The sequence below is a fragment of the Homo sapiens genome, chromosome 4 (genome assembly GCF_000001405.40).
Source record: "Homo sapiens chromosome 4, GRCh38.p14 Primary Assembly".
NCBI lineage: Eukaryota > Metazoa > Chordata > Mammalia > Primates > Hominidae > Homo > Homo sapiens.
Genome location: NC_000004.12, coordinates 1,936,065 through 1,960,054, shown reverse-complemented (window position 1 = coordinate 1,960,054; position 23,990 = coordinate 1,936,065). Strand labels below are relative to the sequence as shown.

At 46.1% G+C, this 23,990-nt stretch overlaps 1 protein-coding gene across 23 annotated transcripts in view; it reads right to left on the bottom strand.

Moving 5' to 3' along the window:
• The window catches only part of NSD2 (nuclear receptor binding SET domain protein 2), a 110,800-nt gene that overhangs the window by 22,138 nt on the left and 64,672 nt on the right, over positions 1–23,990 (bottom strand). For 12 of the 23 annotated variants that reach the window (NM_001440892.1, XM_047416137.1, NM_001440893.1 and 9 more), the window contains 10 exons: positions 21,523–21,604; positions 20,277–20,401; positions 8,852–8,983; positions 7,824–7,947; positions 6,531–6,731; positions 4,715–4,894; positions 4,206–4,362; positions 3,867–4,072; positions 2,019–2,122; positions 315–584 (listed from right to left, as the gene is read on the bottom strand). In NM_001440892.1, coding sequence (NP_001427821.1) covers positions 315–584; positions 2,019–2,122; positions 3,867–4,072; positions 4,206–4,362; positions 4,715–4,894; positions 6,531–6,731; positions 7,824–7,947; positions 8,852–8,983; positions 20,277–20,401; positions 21,523–21,604 — 1,581 coding nt within the window. Of the gene's footprint in view, positions 1–314; positions 585–2,018; positions 2,123–3,866; positions 4,073–4,205; positions 4,363–4,714; positions 4,895–5,369; positions 5,466–6,530; positions 6,732–7,823; positions 7,948–8,851; positions 8,984–11,235; positions 20,402–21,522; positions 21,605–23,990 lie in introns of those variants that run through there. The other 11 variants (XM_047416141.1, NM_001440897.1, NM_001440898.1 and 8 more) reach the window with 8 other exon arrangements.

The following is a 23,990-nucleotide window of genomic DNA, read 5'->3' as shown; positions in this document are numbered from 1 at the left end:
AGACCCCATCTCCAAAAAAAAATAAAATTATTAGGGCATGGTCAAACACGCCTGTAGTCCCAGCTGCTTGGGAAGCTAAGGTGGGAGGATGGCTTGAGCCCAGGATTCTGAGGCTGCAGTGAACTACAATCATGCCACTGCCCTCCAGCCTAGATGACAGAGTGAGACCCTGTCTCAAAACAAAAACAAAAAAAATTTTTTTTCCAAAAAATACCATTCTCACATGACTACAAAACCACCACAAGCAAACCTAGGCCTAATTACCCAGTGAACCGTAATTTCTCAAAAGCAGGGGAGGGGATAACGACACATACCTTTCTGATGTCCCTCTTGGCGACCAGGCCCCACCCTTTGCCATCTGTCTTGATGATCTTGGTCTCTGGGTACTGGCGCTTGGTGAAGCACTGGTTCTGGCAGAACTCGCCCGCGGGACACACCTGCGGGTGGCACTCAAACATCAGCATCCTGTTCAGACACTCCGAATCAAAGCCACAAGGATTCTCATCTGTGGGCTTGCAGTTGCACTTAGGGATTTCTGAAATATCCGCTGTGTAGATCTGGACTTTCCCGTAAGGCTTATTCACCTGCAGGGAAGGAGTAAGCTGTCTTGGTCCACACATGAGAGCCTTCCGAATACCCTTGCACACCCACCACTGCCTCTCCTTACCCAGCCTCCAGGTGGCCTTTTAGAAAGCTTCAGAGTCCTGGCTAGGACACACTACTCAGAACAGCCCTCCCCAGATCCCAGAGGAGCTCTCCTCTGCCTTCTTAGCACAAGAGGCAGGCAGGGCAACACAACGCCCCCTCACATTATTTTATCTTAGTGTCTGTGCACATCGCTGATGAACAAGAGCTGACACGTATCCAGCCAGGCCATTGTAAGATGAAGAGAGAAAAAGCGTGTTGATTGCTTAGTACACTGCAGGGTGTCCAGCAAACGCTGGTAAGAGCTCTTCTGAGCAGCTTCCCGACCCATCTCTCTGACTCTTCCTTTACCAAGCACCAGCAGCAAGCCACATGGGAGTCCACCCCAGGAGGAGCAGTGCTAGGCAGGAGGGCATAGCCTCTGCTCTCATGACCTTGTGGTTTACTATTAGTGAAAGACAAGCAACCAAATAACAAAGCAGTAGAGACAGCTGAAAATCAGCTGGGGTAGAAATGCATAATCTTAGGGAAGAGGTGGCGAAAGACACTCTTTTCACTGCTGTGGTATGACAAACTGTACATTTTGGAGAACAATCTGGGAATATTCCCCAAGAATCTAAACATTTCATACTCTCTGACCCTGTGATTCTGTTTCTGGGAATCCATCCCAAAGAAAATATTATATAAAGATGAATACAGAGCACTTTCTTTACATACAAAGATATTGACTGCAGCCCACATTTTACAAGCAAAGGCAGAGCACCTGACCTCCGGCACACACTTATCACAAACACTCGTCAGGAACGGCCACGAGGCTCCTGGGGATGCGGCTTGCCGCACCAGCTCTGAGCGCAGGCAGCCCTGAGGGGCCTGGAGCTCTCACAGAGCCCTGCCCTGGCTGCACTTCCTCCTGCTGGGGCTCTCGAGCTCACTGGAATAAACACAGAACTGGCAAGCTCCCCTGCCGCCCCGCCATCTTGCTCTCTGAGGTACAGGATCTACGTGTTTGGGGCTCAGTCACTGAGCCCTGGCCGTATGTGACTGACTCCCAGCACTTGGCAACAGCCTGGTGCAGGTGGGAGGCTCATCCCTCAGCTCCTCCTGCTCCAAGCAGCCCGGTCAGGACTGTCACCCCAACCCTTCTCTAAGCTACCAAGCCAAGCCTCACACTCCAAGGCGGATCCAAGAACCCCCATGCAGATCCCCCCATGCCATTTGCTCATGGTCTCTTGTGTGGCCATCCATGCCAGGCACCACAGATCCTGGCTGGTGACAGTCCTCTCCCCAGCCATAGCCTGGGTGTGCCTAAGAACCTCTCACGGCCCTCGGGGAAGACTCCCTCCACACGCGTGCACGCAGCTCCCACACGCCACCTTGATGTGCTTGTATGGTGGGGGCTTGCGCTCGCTCTCCTGTGTTTCTCGGGCTTCCCTCTGAAGCTTAATTTCACGAAAACGAGCTTCAGCTTCTTGCAGTGCTAAAAAGTCAATGAAATAGGAGTAAAGATTTTAGTAAATACAGGTAACTACCTTTCAAGCTCCATATTTTTATAGTTCACTCTAAACTTTCAATGTTAAGTATAGTTTCTGGTTCCCATAAAACTAGAGTCTATGAACAACTGTCAGTGGGCAGGTATTTTTAAATGCGGCCAAGTGTGTGAGGCAAAGGAGTGCTCAGAGAACAGCCATCACCTCTCTACAAGACAGGCCCAGGGCAGAGTTCTGTCGGGAGCTCCCTGTCCTCCACTATGGCCTAAGGACAAAGCACCAGGGTCAAAGCCTGGGACTTGCTGTTCTCAGACAGAAAATAAAAATGCACCTGAGGCCGGGTGCAGTGGCTCACGCCTGTAATCGAAGCACTTTGGGAGGCCGAGGCAGGCGGATCACCTGAGGTCAGGAGTTCAAGACCAGCCTGGCCAACATGCTGAAACCCCATTCTCTACAAAAAAAAAAAAAAAAATTAGCCAGGCATGATGGCAGGTGCGTATGGTCCCAGCTACTTGGGAGACTGAGGCAGGAGAATTGCTTGAACCCAGGAGGTGGAGGTTGCAGTGAGCCGAGATCACACCATTGCACTCCAGCCTGGGCAACAGAGCAAGACTCAGTCTCAAAAAAAAAAAAACAAAAACAAAAAAACATGCAGCTGAGCTCCTCTCGAAACAAAAGGGGTTCTGAGAGATTAACCATAGGCTCAAGCAAGAACCGAGGAAACACACACCCCTACAATCCGTCCCAAGAAGGAGGCCAGCCCCATGTCAACCCTAGACGTGTCCTGTGGTCTGCCCTGTTTTTGCAGCCCCAAGTCAGCCACAAAGGTTTCTGGCTCTACAGGACACCTGCATCCACAGTTAGGAGACTTTGCCGACAGTCGCAGCAAACACATAAGTCCACCTCTCAATTTCGTCTCGCCCTCTTAATAATTTTTTAAAATCTTTCAATGCCTACCCATTCTTTATGAGATCTCTGAATGCCCACCATGCACTCCTACCACTCAGTGCAGCCTGCAAAGCTTCTGGCAGCATGGAGCTAACCAAGCTTTAAATACGCGGGTCCCCGCCTGCAGTCACACAGGAGCCAGCACTGACCCGGCTGCAACACAGCGTGTGCTTCTCCCTGAACGAGCCACATGCACACACCTCGGGTTTTCTCTACTGGCCTCATTCTCTCTTGACCGATCATAAATACCAGTTCCTCCAGTTCCTCCAGTGAAGGGTCACATCCCCATCCTGCCTCCCTCAAACGTGGGTCATCAGCCAGCCATGCCACATCGTTGCTCCTGCCTCCCACCCCAGCTGGGGAATCAGAGGCCAAGCACCTTGTCTGCTTGACCACCCCTGATTCCTCATGCACTGAAAGGTAAAGCGAGCCCCCAAGAGCCTGCTGCACAAGGTCGAGACAACAGGACCCTTCCTTCAGATCTGCATTTTACATAAAGGCAAGCCATGGAACATTTCTGTAAATTAGTATTAAAAATAATTTCTGAATAATAGGTTTACAGAATTTTAATGAAATTAATCACAAACCAATGTTACAAAAGTTATCAGTGTATCTTATTCTATGCTCAACAAATAAACCAGACTGCAAACATTTTCCTAATTTAAAAAAACAGATTGAATGCTTAGTCCAGTATTTTCTATAAAGATCAAATTTTAAAAAATAGAAATTAGGGGTAAGAAAATGCACGAGAGTGCTGTCTCACTCTCTATCTGAATATCTCCGTACCGTTTTTGAAGACTCTTCCGATCCCTCTGACCCCCTGGTAGCGGCTGCCCCGGTCCCCCTCCATGTACGGGAACACTCGCGCCTGATGCGTCCAGTAATAATCTTTAGACCCAAAGAAAAACACAGGGAATTCTCCAATCTCGTGCTTCATTTTCTGAATATTTGGGGGAACATTTTTGGGATGGCAAACTTCTGCCGGCCACCATCTATTATAAATATTAAAAACAGGATTCACAGACTCCTCAGAGACAGCGATAATAATTTCAATACTTTAAGTACTGTAAAGCGAACACATGTGAACAGAAAAGACATAAAAGCATACGATTCTATGTCTCACACCTGTAGTTCCCAAGTTTCACCCAAATGATATCCTGGAAGTGCAGCTTCTTCCCAGCCCTGCAGTCATTGCAGAACCAGCTGCCGTCAGGCATCTCGATGTTCAGGCAGTCAGGGTGGAAGGCCGCTGGGCAGGACTCACAGCACAGAAGGCTCCCCCCTGCAAGAGGAGGGCGAGGCGGCCAGGCTTAGCCTGTCTGCTATGGCTCAGCCCAGATTCAGTGCTTCACAGTCTACACTTATTACAGCCTTAACTTATAAACATCAGTTTTAAAACAGCGATCTGTACATCAGCACGAGAGCAAATGTCATTTTCACCACAAATAATTTCCTGTATGTTTGCGAAATGATTACAATTAATTTAGAGCTACTGTGATATACTATTAACGTGAAGACGCACAGAACACTGTCAACATCAATGAACACAGCGCAGACAAGGAATGAGCCTGCCTTGATATGTGGCTCCTGGGAGTGTGAGAGGCGTGTGCCGCAGACACCCCCAGGCCCCTCACCTTTGGAGCACACGAAGCACCAGCTCACGTTGACGTGGGCGTGGTGTCGCTTCCCCTTCCGAGCAGTGAAGTGGGCAGTGCAGATGATGCTGTTGGAGGCGATCACTGAGCATCCTGCTGCCAGACAAGCATCCCCGCTGTGATAGGCAACGGGGCAGCGGACACACCGCATCATTTTACCTGAAGGCAAAGAAACACACCCTAAGGACCCCAAACACTGACTCCAGTCATAGTGAAAAGAGCAACTAATAATTACTCAGCCTCCATGAATTTGAAAAGTTAATGCTAAAATGAAATGGAGGTATTTGATTTAAAAAAAGCTTTCAGAGCAAAGGTGCTTCAAAACCATGTTTGAGAAAATGGTCATACATCTAAAATGCCGCGTGTCTCAGCCTGGGCACTGCAGGCACCTGGGGCACGTGGGCAGCCGACCTGGGCATTGTGCAGTGTGGAGCAGCATCCCTGGCCTCTACTCACTAGATGCCAGGAGCACATCCCCAAAATATCCCCAGACATTGCCAAATGTCCCCTGGAGGACAAAATTGCCCGATAAAGAACCACTGGTGTCAAGAAGTACAGAAAACCTGCCACCCTCATCCCACACACCTAACATTAGAAAATCCAAATGTAATTTGATTTAAAGATGTTTTCTTACATATAATGGGCCATTAAAACCAGAGCAAACAGGCTGGGTGTGGTGGCTCATGCCTGTAATCCCAACACTTTGGGAGGCTCAGGTGGGAGGATTCTTTGAACCCAAGAGTTGAAGACCAGCTTGGGCAACACAACAGTGAGACCTCGTCTCTACAAAAAAATAAACAAAATTAGCCAGGCGTCGTGGTCACAGCTACTTGAGAGGCTTAGGTGGGAGGATCACCTGAGCCTGGGAGGTCAAGGCTACAGTGAGCCATGATCACACCACTGCATTCTAGCTTGAGCAACGGAAGGAGACCCTGTCTCAAAAAAAAGAAAAGAGGTCAGAGCAGTGGCCTAATAGTTCAAGACCAGCCTGGGCAACATGGTGAAACCTCATCTCTACAAAAAAATACAAAAATTGGCAAGGCGTGGTGGCTCATACCTGTAATCCCAGCACTTTGGGAGGCTGAGGCGGGTGGATCACCTGAGGTCAGGAGTTCAAGACCAGCCTGACCAACATGATGAAACCCCGTCTCTACTAAAAATACAAAAATTAGGTAGGTATGGTGGCACGTGCCTGTAATCCCAGCTACTGAAGGGATGAGGCAGGAGGATCGCTTGAACCTGGGAGGCAGAGGTTGCAGTGAGCTGAGATCGTGCCACTGCACTCCAGCCTGGGCAACAGAGGGAGATTTTTTTTCTCCAAAAAAAAAAAAATTTACAAAAATCAGCCAGGTGTGGTGGCATGTGCCTGTAGTTCCAGCTACTCAGGAGGCTGAGGCAGGAGGACAGCTTGAGCCCGAGAGGACAGCTTGAGCCCAGGAGGTCAAGGATGCAGTGAGCTGTGACTGCACTGCACTCCAGCCTGGGTAACAGAGCAAGACTCTATCTCTATAAAGAAAAAAAAAAAAGCCAGGGTAAACAAAATCTATCAAATGGTCCAAAGGTTGCCCCTCTCCTATAGTTAAGCATCTTTAGGGTGATATTTAGGATGGAAAGAAGGAAAAGGGAGACAGGTCCTTTGTCAAAGAAAACCCAACCCAGCCGATGTCCAGTTAGTCACTCAAGATAATTAATGCTCTTTGGTGACAATCCCAACAGCCCACCTTCCCAAGCGCCCATGGGCCTGCGTCTGGCCTGCATCTGAACCCACAGCAAGGCTGCGCAGGTGCACCTGTACCTTTTGACGGCCTTGGGTTTGAAGGGTTGGAAGCATGGCAGCTCACACAGCTGTGGAGGGGGCAGCGGAAACCTCGGCTCTCAAATACAGTCAGAGGGTATTTTTTCACACAAGCCTCATGGTAAAATTTTCCACACTGAGTTACCACACAGCGCTTAACATCTGTCTTGCTCTCTTTACACACGAAACATGAGTGAATCCCTAACAAAAAGTTAAAGAAGGGGTGGAGAGAGAGGTGCAAAGAACAAGAATTAAATTGCAGTTCTGAGCCACTAAAATCAAGCAACTCCTCTTCAGAGGCAGCCATGCTGCTAAAGCACCTGGCCCTGTTTCCAACCTTGCTCACTAGTCCAAGCATTCTCCAGCAAAAAGATCCAGCCATCAAGGATTACCTTGCTGCGATCTGAGCTCCAGCTTCACCTGAAATACAGGAGAATCTTACTAGGCAGCCTGGCTGGGGAGGCCCAGTCTAACTGGCAAGAAGCTTGAAAGAAGGGGCTCCTATGAAAAGAGGCCTTTCCTCCTTGAGAGCAGCTGGCCAGTGGTGGAGCAGTCACTTATCATTCTGGGCAGGCAGACAGACACTCCCATAAGTGAGGTGCTGCTGTGGGGCTGCCATGGCCTGGGAGACTCTCCAGGTGTCTTCCTGACCCAGGAAGTGTTCTGACGTGAGATAGGAGACTCCTTGGGCCCGGTGAGTAGGCAGGAAGGGCCACGGCTGTGCAGGTGTCCTCTCATCATCCTCACAGACCCCAGACTGTGCCGGGCGACACCTGATGCAGTAACATGGAGGCAGAACAACAGCACTGACAACCCAGGACAAGCCTGGAGCTGTTCTTTCTGTTGAAACTGAGGCTCAAGGTGACACTGTGTCTTCATAAAGAACTCCATGTTCCTATGGACTTCAGTGTTCGGTGACCAACCAGGTTACCTGTACCCTTAATGCTGCACTGTCTGAGCGGCAGTGCCCTGTGGTGGCCGCCTCACACATAGCACAGGCTCAGGCCAGCCCACGGGATGAAAAGCCCATGACCTGTCATCCCGCCACCCTGCCCGCCACCTGATGGAAAGGTACCAAGGGGGCACATACGACTGAAATCAGAGCAAACCCTGCAGCTACTGAGAGGTGGGTACACCTGCCAGCTGTGGGCTACAAGCTCCAGAGAGGGCCAGGCGGTGGGGGTGGGGAGGGGGCTTGTCCTCTGCAGGCAGCTCAGGGCAGGACTTGGTGCAGGGGGTTGCAGGAGCAGGTGGCCGGCCAGGCTGCAGAGCTGCCCGCCCGTGGGAACTTGCCTGAGGCACACTCGCTGCAGGTGAACCTCCCTTCTGGCCTCCGGGAAAGCCCAAGGCAGGCGAGGTGGAAAGCTCCGCAGCAGGGTCCTTCACAGAGCAGGAGGCTGCCCGGCTTCTCACACAGCTGCGGGGGCAGAGCAGGCGGGTAAGCAGCGCCCGGCAGTCCCTTCTGCACCTCTTACCACAAGGGAAGCCGTCTGCTTCTGTCTCCAGTGGCAGAAAATCCCATTTTGCTACTCAAGGATATATAATAACATGCATGGGCAAACGTCTGGCCCAAACAGAACGTACAAATACAGAATCAGATTAAAACCAGATGACTGTTACAGAAAGAGGCCAGTCCTCAGCAATGGCAAAGGAAGTAACAGGATCACAACCCTGAAGGATACATCCAAGATATTTCAAATCAGATTTGAAAATCAACAGAAATCAAAGGCACCCTAATCCAGATGGCAGGTGCCACGCTGACGGCAGGCAGTATTCACACTTCCCATGCATCGACTGCCTGGCATGGAAGCTCCCATGCCATCTCCAGCTGACAGATGGGGCGGGACTGAAGCACAGAGTGTAGGTGGCCTGGCTGGGGTCCTGTGGGCACACACAGGTCTAGTGATGGCCCCCTCAGCCCACAGCCTGGCCTGTCCAGTGTGCATGTCATCAGTGAAGCTAAAACAGGCCTAGCACCTCACCTTTTCCAACAGGAACTTTGTGTGTGTGTGTGTGTGTGTGTGTGTGTGTGTGTGTGTGTGTGTGTGTGTGTGTGTGTGTGTGTGTGTGTGTGTGTGTGTATTACATGATGTGTATACAAATCTCATCCTACATGTGAATTATGGATGTTAATGGAGACAACTCAATCCCAGGATTCCACTGAGAGTCAGTCTGACCCCTTCAAAACAGAGATGAGTGAGTGACGGTGAGATTGGGGAAGGGGTCTGGTGGGAAGGGAAAAGACACTACAAATTCGCTCTGCGTACCGGGGCCCCAGTCAGACACCAGCACGGACATAGCGGATGCTGCCTTCTCCTCACCTGGCACACATACTCCTTTTTGGCAGTCACTCCTCGCTCAGACTTTTTGGATGAGACAGATACTTCAGTTTGTGTTTCGTCTGCACTTTCGTATGGGGACTCCGAGGGCTCGTCTCCCGGGCTGTCCGAGACCTAGAGATGAAGGAGGCGGATGACAGTTCACTAGTCGCAGAACACAGCGGGTGGCCATGCCCTGCAGGCAGGCTCGTCCCGCCCCACCCCACCACCCACCAGTCTTTCTCAGCACTGGTCCTGTACCGCCAGTGATTTCACAGTGGAACCATCATCAACTGGTTTTTGTGATAATATAACCCGTCAATTAGGCTATGTAGAAAATTCAAAAACGGACTTTATTCTACCTAGTATTTAGCATATATATGCATATAAGAGGCATATTCCTTAAAATGAAGGAAGTGTTATGAACATCCAATTTGCTCTAGTAGGTGAACTAAGACAGGCTTTTTGGAACAAGAATCTTGGCCCTTCTTACCTAGTCTGTTCAGGTTCTACTACTCTAAGGTGGGAGAAACATGCTAACACCAAACGAATGTGTAAAGGAACCACAGATGAAGTAAGTGTCAGCCTCATCAGGTGACCGTGCAGTCCAGCTGCCGCCGGGGTGGAGACCATGCGTCCTTTCAGAAGTATGTGCCTACGCGGGGGTGCAGAGTCAGGAGAGTCTTCCGGACTCACACCACAGGCTGACCGTTCGGTTTCTCTTCTTCCTCCCATTGCCTATTTGTCCTGATATTTCACAGTTCACTTGTTCTCCCCACCAGAGAAGTGAGGTGGGCAAAGGCAAGGTAAAATCTACCTACTTGATTCACATCTGAGTCTAGGTAAAAGGCCTGGGATAAAGGCATGGAATCCCTGAGCGAGTGGAATTGCTCGCAGGTTGTATCTCTTCTGCCTCTCTCTCCCCTTCATTTAATAGAAATCACTGAAGACCAGGCTGAATACAGCCTCAGCCTCACCCTCACATACACAGCATTTCACCCTCACCTGACAAGCAACATCAACAAATATTTAAATGAATAAAATAGAGAATCTTCTTGTCTGTCAAATCAAGTGTTTAAAAAATTTGGTTTTTATTTGATGTTAGGTAAATAAGTGTTGAACACTGAATTTTGGAGATGAAACAGAGCAAAAGCATAAACTACATTTCCTGTACACCTCAATCATCACAAAAACAAGTAATTATGTTATCGGCTTGCTGTTTGCCAATGAACACGAAGTCAGAAATTGGAATTGGGCCATATTAAAAAATAAAAGCCAACCCCACCAGGGACTCTTGACCAATCCTGTGACCTTATCAGTGAGCTTTTCCACATTTAGCTGACATTGCAGGGAGCGGTGGAAGAAAAACAAATTAAAAACTAACACAGAAGTGTTTGCTGACTTCAGAGTAGTGTTAGAGTGGGCTTTTTTTTTTTTTTTCTCGAGACAGAGTCTTGCTCTGTCGCCCAGGCTGGAGTGCAGTGGTACAATCTCAGCTCACTGCAAACTCCGCCTCCTGGGTTCAAGTGATTCTCCTGCCTCAGTCTCCTGAGTAGCTGGGTATTACAGGCACCTGCCAACAAGTCCGGCTAAATTTTTTGTATTTTTAGTAGAGATGGGGTTTCACCATGTTGGCCAGGCTGGTCTTGAACTCCTGACCTCGTGATCCACCCGCCTTGGCCTCCCAAAGTGCTGGGATTACAGGCATGAGCCACCGCACCCAGCCAGAGTGGGCTTTTTCCAAGGGCTTCCGTCGCCTCTGACTGGTGACTGTGGGTGGTGACAGATGTGAGCCACTCTTCTCTTCTCACTAGATACATCTCCTGACAGCACAAAGTCTAAAGAAAACGCAGCCTCTTAATCTTGGTTTCCTCACCTTTTCCAGGAAGATGGACTAGCGTCATGAACACTAATCAGAGCAGTGCACACTTTAAGGCTCTGTCACTGTGAGGCTGCCAGGAGGGCCCTGCAAGAGCCACAGCGCACATCCTGTTCTTTAACACCCACAAAGGGCCACTTGACGTGCTCTGAGTTCAAACCTCCAATTTAACAAGCGCATCAGATATGGACTCAGCAGTGGAGACCTGAGCACTTCTGAGATGAGACTGGAGGGGGAGCCAGGGGAGCACAGGGCATGGGGAAGCAGTGGCCACACTGTCTGGGGCCCCACTCAGAGAGTCACCCACACAGTCGCCCAAGCTGACCCATCTGATGGGGGAACCAAGGCCCAGAGAAAGGGGCCTTCTGCATGGCTCAGGGGAGAGAGCCCCAGCGCTATCCACCAACCCATGCTCTTCCCTTAACGTGGTGGAACAAACTTAAAAAGCTTTAAAAATGAGAAAAAAAATGCATGGAGAGAAAGACAGAAAACACAAAGCAGTCCTGGGTCAGAGGAAGGAACAGCACCTTTTATTTCAGATTTACAGAAAAAGTTAGCACGTTTCCACTTGGAGAGATTTCCTACATTAACAAAGTCTGTTTTGAGGAAATAAACACTGAATACATATTTTGAATGGAAATATATAAATGTTAACGACACACATGAGGCTCATTTCCTGATCAGGGTCTGGGACCCACATACAGAATATAGACCTTACAATAGTACAGTCCATGACACAGATTGCAGAGATTCCGACTTTTTCCCACCACACCCCCTCCCAGCCACCGGACAGACAACTAGCCACAGTCGGGGAGGATCCAATGCTCTCGGCTCGGCAACCACCCGCAAGGAGAGCAAAGTACGAGGGCGTCCCACAGCAAGCCTTACTCCAGCCGCAGGCTCCACCTCCACGCACCAGGTGACGTGACTCACTCGGAGAAGCCATTTGTGGAGGTGGCACATTCACCTGTACGGTCCCAACATAGTCCCAAATCTCAGTCTACAACATCTACGATCTATTCCATATCCAACGAGATGCATTTGGAAAGGAAAAGTGCAGGGACTGAGCGGACACAGACTCTGTCAAGAACTTTCCCGTTGTTTCCCGCGTCCACCACAGCCATGCTGCGGCACTGAGCTCCGAGCAGCTTAGCTCCTGACTTTTCAAAGTTTTCTTCAGTCTGAAAATACTTTCTCCACTCTCTACTCAGAATAAGATAGTACCAAGTTGCCTATTTGCCTTAGAAATACATTCCTTCAGGGCAGGGAATGCAGTCTCCTTGATCTATTACAGGGACTTTTCAAGATGATATTACCAAACATAACGGAACCTAGTGAACACATTCCAGCCAACTGCTAAAAGCACGTGGCCCTTCAGGGTGACCTGTATGAGCCGCAGTCAGATGCCACCTTCTGTGACTGCAAAGCGCTCACCTACTCTTCAGAGTGGCGTCATACACATTGAGTTTTTAATTTTTTGACAAAACAAATCCCTTCACAACTTGAATACGACATCGTTTTTGAAATACAATTACAGACCTTGAACAATAAATATTTCTATAAACTGACATAATTTTCATGTTGAAATGATGGTTTTGTAAAGAAGGAAGCTGATGGCGAGAAGTACCTCCACAGTGTTTGCGTTTACAAATGACAACAGCCCTGTGCTCAGCAGATTAAATGAGTGTGAAATCAAGACTAATTTCAAACAGGTCTTCCAAGTTAACAGCACAGTAAAATGTTAAAGTGGAATTAAAATAAGTCACTCATCATCTAAAATACTATAGTTCATAACAATTTTTATTAAAGTGACCCTTCTAGGTTACACAAACTAGAAACTTCCTGGCTATCCCTAAATTCTAGGGTCAGGGCTGGGGGTGAGTCTCTGAGAACAGAGGAAGTCTCCACTCCCAGAGCACCACTGCACACCACAGTCGTCTTCTAACCTGCACAGGCTTTTGTGTAGCCGTAGCCACATAGCCCCAAGCAGGTGGCAGCAAGGACCAAGTGTCACCTGTGGCCAGAGTGAGGCCAGGTGGCTGCTGCTCCCAATTCAAGGCCTGCCCTTGTCAAAGGTAAAATGAATCTAAAATATCCTATCAACCCAACTTTGTCCCACTGTGTCCTGAGCAGCGGCCATCCCACAGGGAGTGTGCTGGGGAGGAGCCTGGTCTGGCCGACTGCAGACAGCAGGCTGTGCACTGTCTGCGAAGGACTTGAGGACAATGACAAAACTGCCCACAATACACCTGCTTCCACTGGCACAGTGCTGAGCAAACCCCCATCAGCCGGACCAGGACCCCCACCCCTACCTCAGTCATTTCTTGAAAATACTATATGCCTGGATGGTCAGCATGCTTCAAAATATTACCCGAGAGTTATATGCAAAAAGGCCAACAACTATAGGTAGGCTAGAAAAAAACACAAATGTGGACCTAACACGTAACCATGGAGTTCAAAGGTATCCAACCAAAAAGATGAGGCCTGTCGGGCTGTTGGAGAGACACCCTGCTGTAAGAATGTCCCAAAGGAAGCATGCTCCTTGCTCATCCAGTATAGGAATCAGATGAATATAATACAAATAATTTTCTACCTGCTAATTACAGTCAATTTGACATCACTGCCAGGTAAATTAGTGGTAATTTCTAACATTCTACATAAAACAATAAAAATGGTACCCAAAGGGATCAAAACCAATTTCGTTGACAAAAAGTCCTAAAATATGAATCAGAATATTTCTTTTAAAATAAGCAAGACCCCGCCAGGTGCAGTGGCTTACGCCTGTAATCCCAGCATTTTGGGAGGGTGAGGCGGGTGGATCACGAGGTCAGGAGTTCAAGACCAGCCTGGCCAATATGGCGAAACCCTGTCTCTACTAAAAATACAAAAAAAAATAGCCAGGTGTGGTGGCAGCCGCTTGTAGTCCCAGCTACTCGGGAGGCTGAGGCAGAAGAATTGCTGGAACCAAGGAGGCGGAGGTTGCAGTGAGCCGAGATTGTGCCACTTACTGCACTCCAGCCTGGCCAACAGGGTGAGACTCTGTCTCTAAATAAATAAATAAATAAATAATAAATAAATGCAAGACCCCCCAAATTTTAGAAGTTAAGAAGCCAATAACAGCTTTGTGAGTATTTTAAGAAACCTTTTCTAATGACAGTTACCTCAGTTTCTCTGGCAAAAGACTATAATTTAGCTTTATCATCTCAAAGATAAACCGCACACCTCAGCAATTACCCTATTTATAGATTTTTTTTAAAAAACTAAGGTGATGAATCTATTGATTTTAAAAGCATAAAATGTTACATTTTCACACTAAGGCAAAAGGGCTCTCACCTGGTCTGTATACAAAAGTCTACCTGGCCAGAGGAAGCTTTGAAATTAATTAAAAATTTAAAAGGGCTAGATGTTAGAGAAGTGTGTTGTAAGTCAAATGAAAAAGAAATGAAGCAAGTTGCCAAAGTCATAACGACCTTATTTTTCATCTACCGCTATCAGACAGGAGCCTCTCCAGCGAGGGGAATCCGTGGCTTTACAGCCCTCCATGCACGTCTCAGGCCCAGACGCAGTGACTGATGTCAGCCATCAGAGGAGCCTCTGCTGCCAAGGCAACCCTTTCAACTCAACTGGATCAAACGAGCCAAGGACTTTTCCCTCATTTGGAAATGCTTATACTGGCTTCCATGCCGGGACACAGAGGAGGACAGAAGCCCAGCTCACAGCCCTGCCATCACAGGTGCCACACACTCACATCAGGCTTCTGGCAAGAGCCTTCTCAGGAGCACTTTCTTATCATCTTAATTTTATATACATCCACAGGCACTTTTTTTGGTTTTGGAACTAGATGCTAATTTATAATCTTAGTTTTCTTTTTTAAACTTCTCTGTGACAGACCCAGCACTTGTTCTGGCAGCCTCACACACACCTCTGGACACACACACCATGGGCAAGCAAGGCCAGGGCCAGGGCAGCACAGGAGCAGCAAGCTTGCTCCTGACAGCATGGCTCTCACACAGCATCCTCCCTCCTTTCCTGTGGTGTGCTCAGCTCTTAACGTCTCCAGCTACATGAGACTCTCCAAATGCCCATCTCCCCACCCCACCCCGTCTTGTTCCCCAGTCCCTGAGCACCCCATTTTAAATCTACCTAGGCTTCTGTGTGAAGTACTTAAACAAAAAACACAAAATCAGATCTCCCTAGAGCTGCGGGGACCTCTCGGAGATCCTCTAAGCACCACTCCACCCACTCAAGAAGCAGCAGTGGGACAGAGGAGCCCCCGACTCCTGTCCAAGGACTCTGCACATCACACACAGTCACCCTCTGCCTTTCACGACATGAAAGGTTGTGTCATGAAACCTCGCTTAAGTTTCCTATTGGTTTTAAGAAACATTCTCTTAAAAACACTGGAGCTGTTTCTAGTTGGGAGATACAGGTATAAGAGATAAAATATATACTCAAGACAGCACTGAGATGTAACTACACCTGGAGTCAGTATGCTGAAAAAAGACATTTAATTTTTGCATGAACACTGAGGAAAGGCCCAAAGATCCATCTAGAGCAGGTGGGGCAATTTTAGAAGCAGATATATAAAGGCTTGATGGCCCAATGGCTCTCAGATCAGTCTTAGAAAAACAATTCAGGACCTCTATTGCCAATATGTGCACTACCTGAAGATGCCACCCTATTACAATGGAGTACTTACGTTTTTAGAACAGCTACAATCTAAGCTTTTATATATTCTGACAAGTTTTCACCTCTAGTGAATGCCTCAAGTTTTACACTGGAGAGCCACCTCCCCTCTCCAAGCACAGACATAGTGTGTGGAAGATGGTCTGAAGTGAGTCAAATGGGACTAAAATGGTTCCATGTATGACAAACAAAATTCACCTCAACAACCGGCAATTCAAATGTCTTAAGGCTAGAATGTATCACCATTATTTTGAGGTTCTTATGAAATGAAGGAATTCCACGTTAAATTAGCAGCATAATGAATTTCTGTACTCTTGGCAAGCCAATGGTCCTCCCTAAGTTCTTTCAAACAAGAGCCGTTTCCACCCACCTCCTTCAGGAAACCAGGAGATGGTCCTCTCGGAAAACTCCGCTCCTCTAGGATGAGCCCACTCCTGGCATCTGAAGTGGGACAATGCTGCCACACATGGGACTGTCCCTCTCACTGCAGAGTGCTGAGTTCACTTGCCCCTGCCCACCTTCCCAATGTCCCCAGGGAACGATGTCACCCCACCCCCCGCTGAGATACACTATCATTCCCATCCACGTTCCCCCATGTGCCCCTGGTTATTCAGCTGATGCCAATGTCATGCTGCTCTTTGGACACCATTTGGTCATTTGCAGGGTTTTGCTTTCTCCATAATATAGAGGGAGCACCTATGCGCTGGCTGACTTCTAATGCATCTATCAGTTATGGGCTAGCTGGCTGGCCACCCATGCAAAATTCATCATGCTGTAATTTCAAATGAAATCCCTTCATTTTCACCAAAAGCCTTTCAAGATAGAGTCTTTACTTTGGGTGACTGCTTATTGAACCAGAGCCATTTTTATACCATCTTTTTTTCCCCATCTTTAAATTTCGTGGGGTTTTTTTTTGAGAATTTTAATTTTACTCTTGAGCTTTTTCATGTCCTTTGGAGTAACACAGCTTAGATTGCTCCTAGACCATCTTTGGGGCTATGTATCCTGCAACATTTGAGCAGAGCCAATAGAGGAACCCAACCAGCCCTCAGCCATACAGTCCAGCACCCTAAAGCGCCACACACACAAATCCAGTGTTCTGCCACTTCTAGGTTTATTTCATCCTCGCATGCATAATGCAGTCAAGAGGACCACTTTTCATGCCAAAGCAAAATTTATACTTTTGGATAAAAATAGAATGATGGCAATTTTATCATTTTTATTATTATAACCATTATTACTGTCACAACAGGAAACCACGGAGTCCTGGCCAGGCACCCTAAGCATCTTACATGCGTTACATTACTTAATGGTTTACAACAAAATATTAGTCAGAAACGTTCATTAAAGATAAAACACAGCCAAAGAATCTGCCGGGAATTAACTGTGGGCTACTCGCATGGTACTGTGAATAGCACACCTTCTGCTTTTATGAGCTGAAGGGCAAGTAAGCCTTTTCCTTACCATGCAAAAATGCGGACACCTGGGGCAGGACACCAGGCTGCTCCCCGACATTAAGACAATGAAACATGAGGGCTGATGCTCTATAGAAGCAACTGATGCAGAGGTTGGTGTACATAACCTGATTACAGTATCCCCTTGGTCCGGGGCCTTGGATCAAAAGGGTTAAATGGTTCACAATAATACTGTAAATGGTATTTTTTTCTAAAAATTTACTGTATCTAGTGTCATAATAAAACTGTTTAGTAAAAAAGGATAGAATCAAAACTCTTCCTGCCTCTTATGTTGGAAATTAGTGTAGTATCTACAATACTGAATATATCTCACTGGCAATGAGAACAGCTGATGAGGACTCCTCCTAACGTGTGCTGTTAGTTTGTTTCTGAGGGTAGCGACGCTGATATTTTCCACAAAAGTCCAGTAAGTTACAAACTAGAGGAGAAGCAACTCTAACAGGGCCACCCCTTCCGTGCAAAGCCCTGCTGCAGCTCTGGACAGCCCCCAACTAAAGGGACTGCCTTTCAACTTGAAATCTACATTGACCACTGGAATATGAACGTGTTTCTATTATGAGATGAATGTGACGGATTAAATGGCCTTGATTAGTTATCTTACCTTGGTCTTAAAATTTGTTATCTGTTTTCTTCATTGTATGTGTTTATTAATACCAGTAAAAACAGATTATCACACATCTTCCATAAAATGATTGTGATAGAAATGTCACTGAGTGTGTACGATGATACGCCACCTGCAGCAGCATCCTGGAATATTACATCATTCTAAGTGCAGTACAGAGCAGCTGGGTTCAAATCCAACTTGACTGGTGTGGGCTCCCACAAAAGCTGTTACCAGTGAAGGCGAAAAAAATAAGAATTTGCTCTACTAAAGGAATAAAAAATGAAGTTACAAAACACTTAAATCACATTAATTCCTTCACAGGCCTTTGTCATGCAAGTGTGTAATTTTAATTTATTCTCTTCCTCAGGGTGATGTAGTACCATGTAATAATTATTCCAATAAAAATTTTTATTTATCACATATACCTTTTTCAAGAAGAATTTAAACTACAACATGACCTAAAGTGTTCTGAAATACCAACCCTATAAAAGTACCTTATTTCAAACAAATGTGATGAAAGGGAGGAAATACAAACATGCAAAGGGGGTGTGACCCAATGGGTGTGTGTCAGTGTGGACCTCAAACAGCAATTCTCATGGTCACCTAACTCATATCAGAATCGGGCCCAGCAGTCAACAGGCTGTTTTTTATAACACTACACTTTGCCTCATATGCTAACAGGCATTCAGCATTGGAAACATCACAAACATTTACTGTAGTTCAGTCGCGTTAATATATAATAGACAAGTTTATTTGTTCACCTAAAGTAGTTTTAACAGCATAATTCTATAAAAATGAACACTAATGGAAGATTTATCTAAGCCATACAAAAGTAGTTTAATGGAAAAGACCCAGTAATTTAAACGTTTTCATATAAGGAACATGATGCACACTATGGGATCTATGCATCACCTTCAAAATGTAGGAAGGTGTATTAATTTCACATATTTAATGTATTATATAAATGTATTTAACAACCTATCAACTTCTGACATTCTGAAGAATTAAAATTTAAGTCTAATGATGATAAAATGCTTCATCTATGTCTTCTCAAGGTCAGGACAACTGCCTAGGCCAGGGAGACTGAGCTCCCCTGACTCATGGGCAGGCCTCGACCCCGCTACACTGGCCTCATGCATTACTCTAAATCAAAGCCTTCGATATACATGACTTAGGATCAGGAATAACAGAGAAGATCTCAGCAGGCTCCATGTTCTCTCTACTGTACCTGACAACAGTATAAGCAACAACTCAAGTGAATAACCGGACCAAAATTATGATAACAGAAAAACTCATTAAAAGCTCTTTAAAGCAAAAATCTCAACTTAAGTGAAAAATGTTTAATATTCTTCTTTGGAACTGTAAATGACCTTTCATTTAATTTTCTAAGATTTTAACCTGAACTTGGACAAGAAAGAAAGGAAAAAGGAAAAATAATTTGTATAAAATTTGCCTTTTCATATTTCAGTAAGCTCCTAGATGTTTCAGTAAATAATTCTTACTGCCTTTTCTCCAGTGTGTCCAAACATCACAAAATGCTTAATTATCTACACGTATCAAACTGTAAAGCAGCCCCAGTCCCACCATCCGTGAACAGGTCTCGACCACCACTGAGTTGGTTTGAGTCCCTGCAGAAAATCCCACTCGGAGGAGTGGTCGCTGAGGATTCAGAGTGGCAAGCCGCAGAGCTCTATGAGCCCCGCCCAGGTTGCCTAGGTCCCTGACCTTCCTGCACTGGAAGGCCTACACTCCTCTAATGAGTGGAAACAACTGAGGCACACCCCATCCTTCCTGGGGACCATGGCAGAGACCTGGCCAGAAGTGCCGCCTTCTGACTCAGCAAGAGTAAGGGGCCTGTCCAACCCTTGCCTCACTACCCTGTTCCAAAAGGGCCCCCAGTTATCATCTCCTCATAAACATGACAAAAACAGGACCCATGTCTACAATGAGAAAAACAGCATCACGGAGAACCAAATAACAAGAAATTAAAACTCCAAAGCTCTATGAAGGTAATCCCTAAAAATCAGGAAACCAAAACTACCTCCGAACAAAAAAGTGTCACACCTACGTTCTGTGGCTATTTGTTGTTTTTGGCAACGGCAAAAAATTTAGGTTTGATAATAAAGTCTAAGTGTCATGTTACAATGATGGCAGGCAGCAGCCCCAAATGGCTTTATTTTGCTATCATGTACTCTGCAAGTCCAGAACACAGGAGTCATATTACAATGGTAGTTCTGACTCACCTCAACACTCAAGTAACTAAAAATGTGCCAGAATTTAAAGGACCAAAGCCATGAAATGCATGAGAACAAAGAAATCTTTGGCTTCCTCCATGAGCCTAGGTCTGGAAGCAACAGGAATCAGGTGTGGTGTGTGAGTCGCCTTCCACCCCACCCAGTATATGTCAGCTCAACTGACACTGTGCCCTTTCAGAACCAACGCAGACTTACTTCCATGTGAACTCTTACAGTGTGAGGGCTACACAGAACACAACATTCTTCAGACAGATTTTAAGAACTATGAAACTGCATCAAGACTGAAGTATATCTGTACATGTACACAGACACTGTGTGCGTGTGTATAAAAAGTGCTCAAATAAACTAACATAGTGCACTGTTTGTCCATTTCATGAATCTGAGTTAGCCAAGAGGCCCTAAAACATCTGCACTGGCAGTGAGCACCAATGCTGCGCTTATGAAGTCTGAGCATTACTCACACTGCAGCGTGGGCAGCTAAATGGCCTTCATACCAATGCCATGGTTATCGTTATTATTATTATTTTACCTCATTCTCAGTTAAGGATGCAGAAGGAGATGAACTTTTGCTAAACCCAAGAGCTGAAGATGCTGCCGTGGAAGCCCGATTTCGCTTCTTCAGTGGTTTACATGCATCAGACAGATTTTTCGTTGCTGTAAAATAATTTTGGTTTGTAAAGTTTCAAATCATAAACCCTTGATCTTTTTACTGCTTAAAAATTACCCCTCAAATAAGTGAAGTTCTAAAGATGAATCTTCTGAATTCCTTTGTCCTTCTGGCTTAACTTTCTATCATGGAAAAATCTGAACATAAACAAAAGCAGACAAACTGTACAATGAACCCCATGTCCTCGCTACTTGGCCCCCAAAAACATCAACCTGGGGCCAGCGTGGCTCTATCCATACCTGGTTCCACGTCCCCCTGCCAGATTATTCTGAAGCAAATCCCAGACATATCATTTCATCCATAAGAAGTTTAGCACAAATCTCTAAACATAAAGTCTTACATATAACCACAATGCTACTCCCACACTTAAAAGTAACAATGCTCTTATATCATCAGCTAGCGTTCAAATGTCCAATTGCTCATGTCTTTTTTTTTTTTTAAAGTCTGTTTAACTGATTTTTAAAAGCCAGTCAAGCACCTCATGCAAAACAAGAAAAACAGAGCCATTGCCACTCTCCTCCCCAGGGTTTTGTTTTCCTTTTAATTAAGAGTTGGAGAAGGTATGACTTCTTCAATAAGGGATCAAACAGGTATTTCAAAAAGATAACTAAAAGGTAAAAGGAAGTGTAATTTCCCCTCTTATTTTTTTGACAATTATTTTTCATAAAGGTTTTAAGCTAGTTTCTTTAGCATGTGAAATATAAATAACGAGCCCTTACTGTTAGCTTACATGCAGAGGGTCAGGGTACTGAAGGGTGACAGAATTTACAGTAGCAACTGGCACCATCAAGTAAGAAACCTGAAAACTTCTGGTTGAAATCACTTTTCTAGTAAAATTTTAAATTGCAAATAATAGAGCCAAGTAAAAAGTAACTTCAATAAAATTTAGCCAAACCCTTCAAAATAACATACACATTAAAACAGTTTAGTTTTCAACCACAGGAGAACCTCCTTTCCTTCTTTTTCACTCCTAGCTTAATTGTGGATTCCTCCCCTGCCCTGTTCCCCTTCACCAGCCCCAGCCTTCCCCTTTCACACTCTCAGCCCACCCACCCAGCCCAGCCTGGGCACCCAGAAGCCAAGAAGGAAAGGGCGCTGACCACATTACCTGCCTGGCTCTTGAGCGAGGAGGCTGCCTCCATGGCCTTGTAAGAGCTTGTTCTGGCCGTTTTGTCAGTGATTGTGTCTCTCTATTATTTAAAAAAAAAAAAAAAAAAAAAAAAAGAAAGAAAAAAAAAAGAAAAGAAAAAAAGGAAAAAAAAAGAAAAAGAACAACAAAAGGAAAAGAAAGGAAAAAAAATCTCCTCATGTGAATGAACACAGGTTGCTGAAAAGTTTCGTGGCAGAAACTTCTTCCTTTGGAAATGTGTTCCACACATAAGTCATCCATGGTTGCCCAATCTCAGACTTTTTTCACAATCTGGACTGATTCTTTCTTCGCACCTCCCGCTCTCGCATCTGTCAGGAGGGCGAGGTGGGTGGGGCCACGCCAAGACCCGCTGCAGTCATGTGGTTAAGACACCTGATACGAGTCTTATTGAACATGCACCTAGACTCTCCACTGAACCCAAAGCAGAGGATGAACATGAGAAAAATGGATCCTTCCATTCAAGAGGTGCCCAATCAAGTTAGACTCAGCCCTGCTAAGTCAGGACCAACATTACTAGTATCACTATACTGAGGATTTCCAATTTTTAGACAAACACCAGATACACCTAATGAACAAAGATCATCAGTAAAACATGTCACAACTGAGAAAAGCAAGAAATGGGAGAAGGGATCATGAAGCTTTTCTCAAGGGCTGAGATTCTGAAAGGTGTGGCTGAAAACTGTCCTGTCCCCATAGCACTAGAGCAGCGCTGCCCAGGGAATGACTTGCCACTCCTGCACTCATACTCCATCTCACCCACCTGCCTGGAACCAGAGCCAGTGAGACAGGATGCGGTGAGGTGGAATCCAGAGGATCATGGACAAGGCGACAGGAGAATGCACTTGGGACAGTGCCTAGCATGTCAGAAGTGCTCAGTGCACATTGGGTGTCATATGTGGTTTGGCTCAGGTTTATAAAACCCAAATCTGAAGAGACAAGACACCATTACTTCTTTTTATCATGTGCTATCTCCTGAGATAGGAGCTAATAAAACATTACTAGCCACTTAATGTGAATTTTGGTATTCTGAGTGTCTAGGGTCATGTATTTTTTAGGTATAACATTTACACAAATATTTCAAAACAACCAGTTTCAGTATGATTGCCAGCAAAGGGCTGCTTTAATAGAAGGTAACCTGGCCAGCCGCAGTGGCTCACACCTGTAATCCCAGCACTTTGGGAGGTGGAGGTGGGCGGATCACTTGAGGTCAGGAGTTTGAGACCAGCCTGGCCAACATGGTGAAACCCCATCTCTACTAAAAATACAAAAAAATTAGCTGGACATGGTGGCACGCACCTGTAATCCCAGCTACTCGGGAGTCTGAGGCAGGAGAATCACTTGAATCGAGGAGGCGGAGGTTGCAGTGAGTGAAGATTGCACCACTGCACTCCAGCCTGGGTGACGAAGTGAGACTCCCTCTCAAAAAAAAAAAAAATTAGGTGACCAGAGCAAATGTTAAGTGCAGGCTTCCTGGTAACTACAAACCTTAGTGACTACAGGTGAATCTGACCTAGCTTACTGCTGAACACTTGATCACTCAACAACCTCACCTATGGCAGGTGCCCCAGAAGAATGTTCTGTGGGCCAGAAAAATGGCGCAGGGCCTGCCTGCTCCTCTCAACTACAAATACAAGTTTAAAGAAATAAGGTAAATGATATGGTGTCCACATATTTACACCTTAGCAATATGTGAGATGTATTTTCCATTCTTTGAAATAAAAAGAGCATTTTAACTCAGATCAGTGAAAAACAGGATGAAGCTTTACTCAAAATCACAAATATACAACTACTCTGTCAGAACTTTTTTTTTTTTTTTTTTTTTTGAGATGGAGTCTCCTTCTGTCACCCAGGCTGGAGTGCAGTGGCGCAATCTCAGCTCACTGCAACCTCCGCCTCCCAGGTTCAAGTGATTCTCCTGCCTCATCCCGAGTAGCTGAGATTACAGGCATGCACCACCACACCCGACTAATTTTTGTATTATTAGTAGAGATGGGGTTTCACCATGTTGGCCAGACTGGTCTTGATCTCCTGACCTCAGGTGATCCACCTGCCTCAGCCTCCCAAAGTGCTGGGATTACAGGTGTGAGCTACCACACCCGGCCAGAACTATTATCGAATAAAATAGAAATTCAAACAAAGTACAAAGTCTAATTAAAGTCTCAGTTCATGAAAAAGTTAACCGGACATCTGAGACAGTTGAAATGAATGGCACCACTTCATACACTAGGAAAAGGGCTCACGTCTTCTACATGCATGGGCACCATACGCTAGACAGAATAACCCGGTGTTTCCTTGGTTGGTTTCACTCCCCTGCAGGTACCAGGCAAACTCTGTCCCTGGACACATGCTGGCAGTAAGCGAGGAGCACAAGGACCCGGGGCTGGCTTTGTATCTATGCTGCACTTTTCCTGCACAGCCTGTTTAGT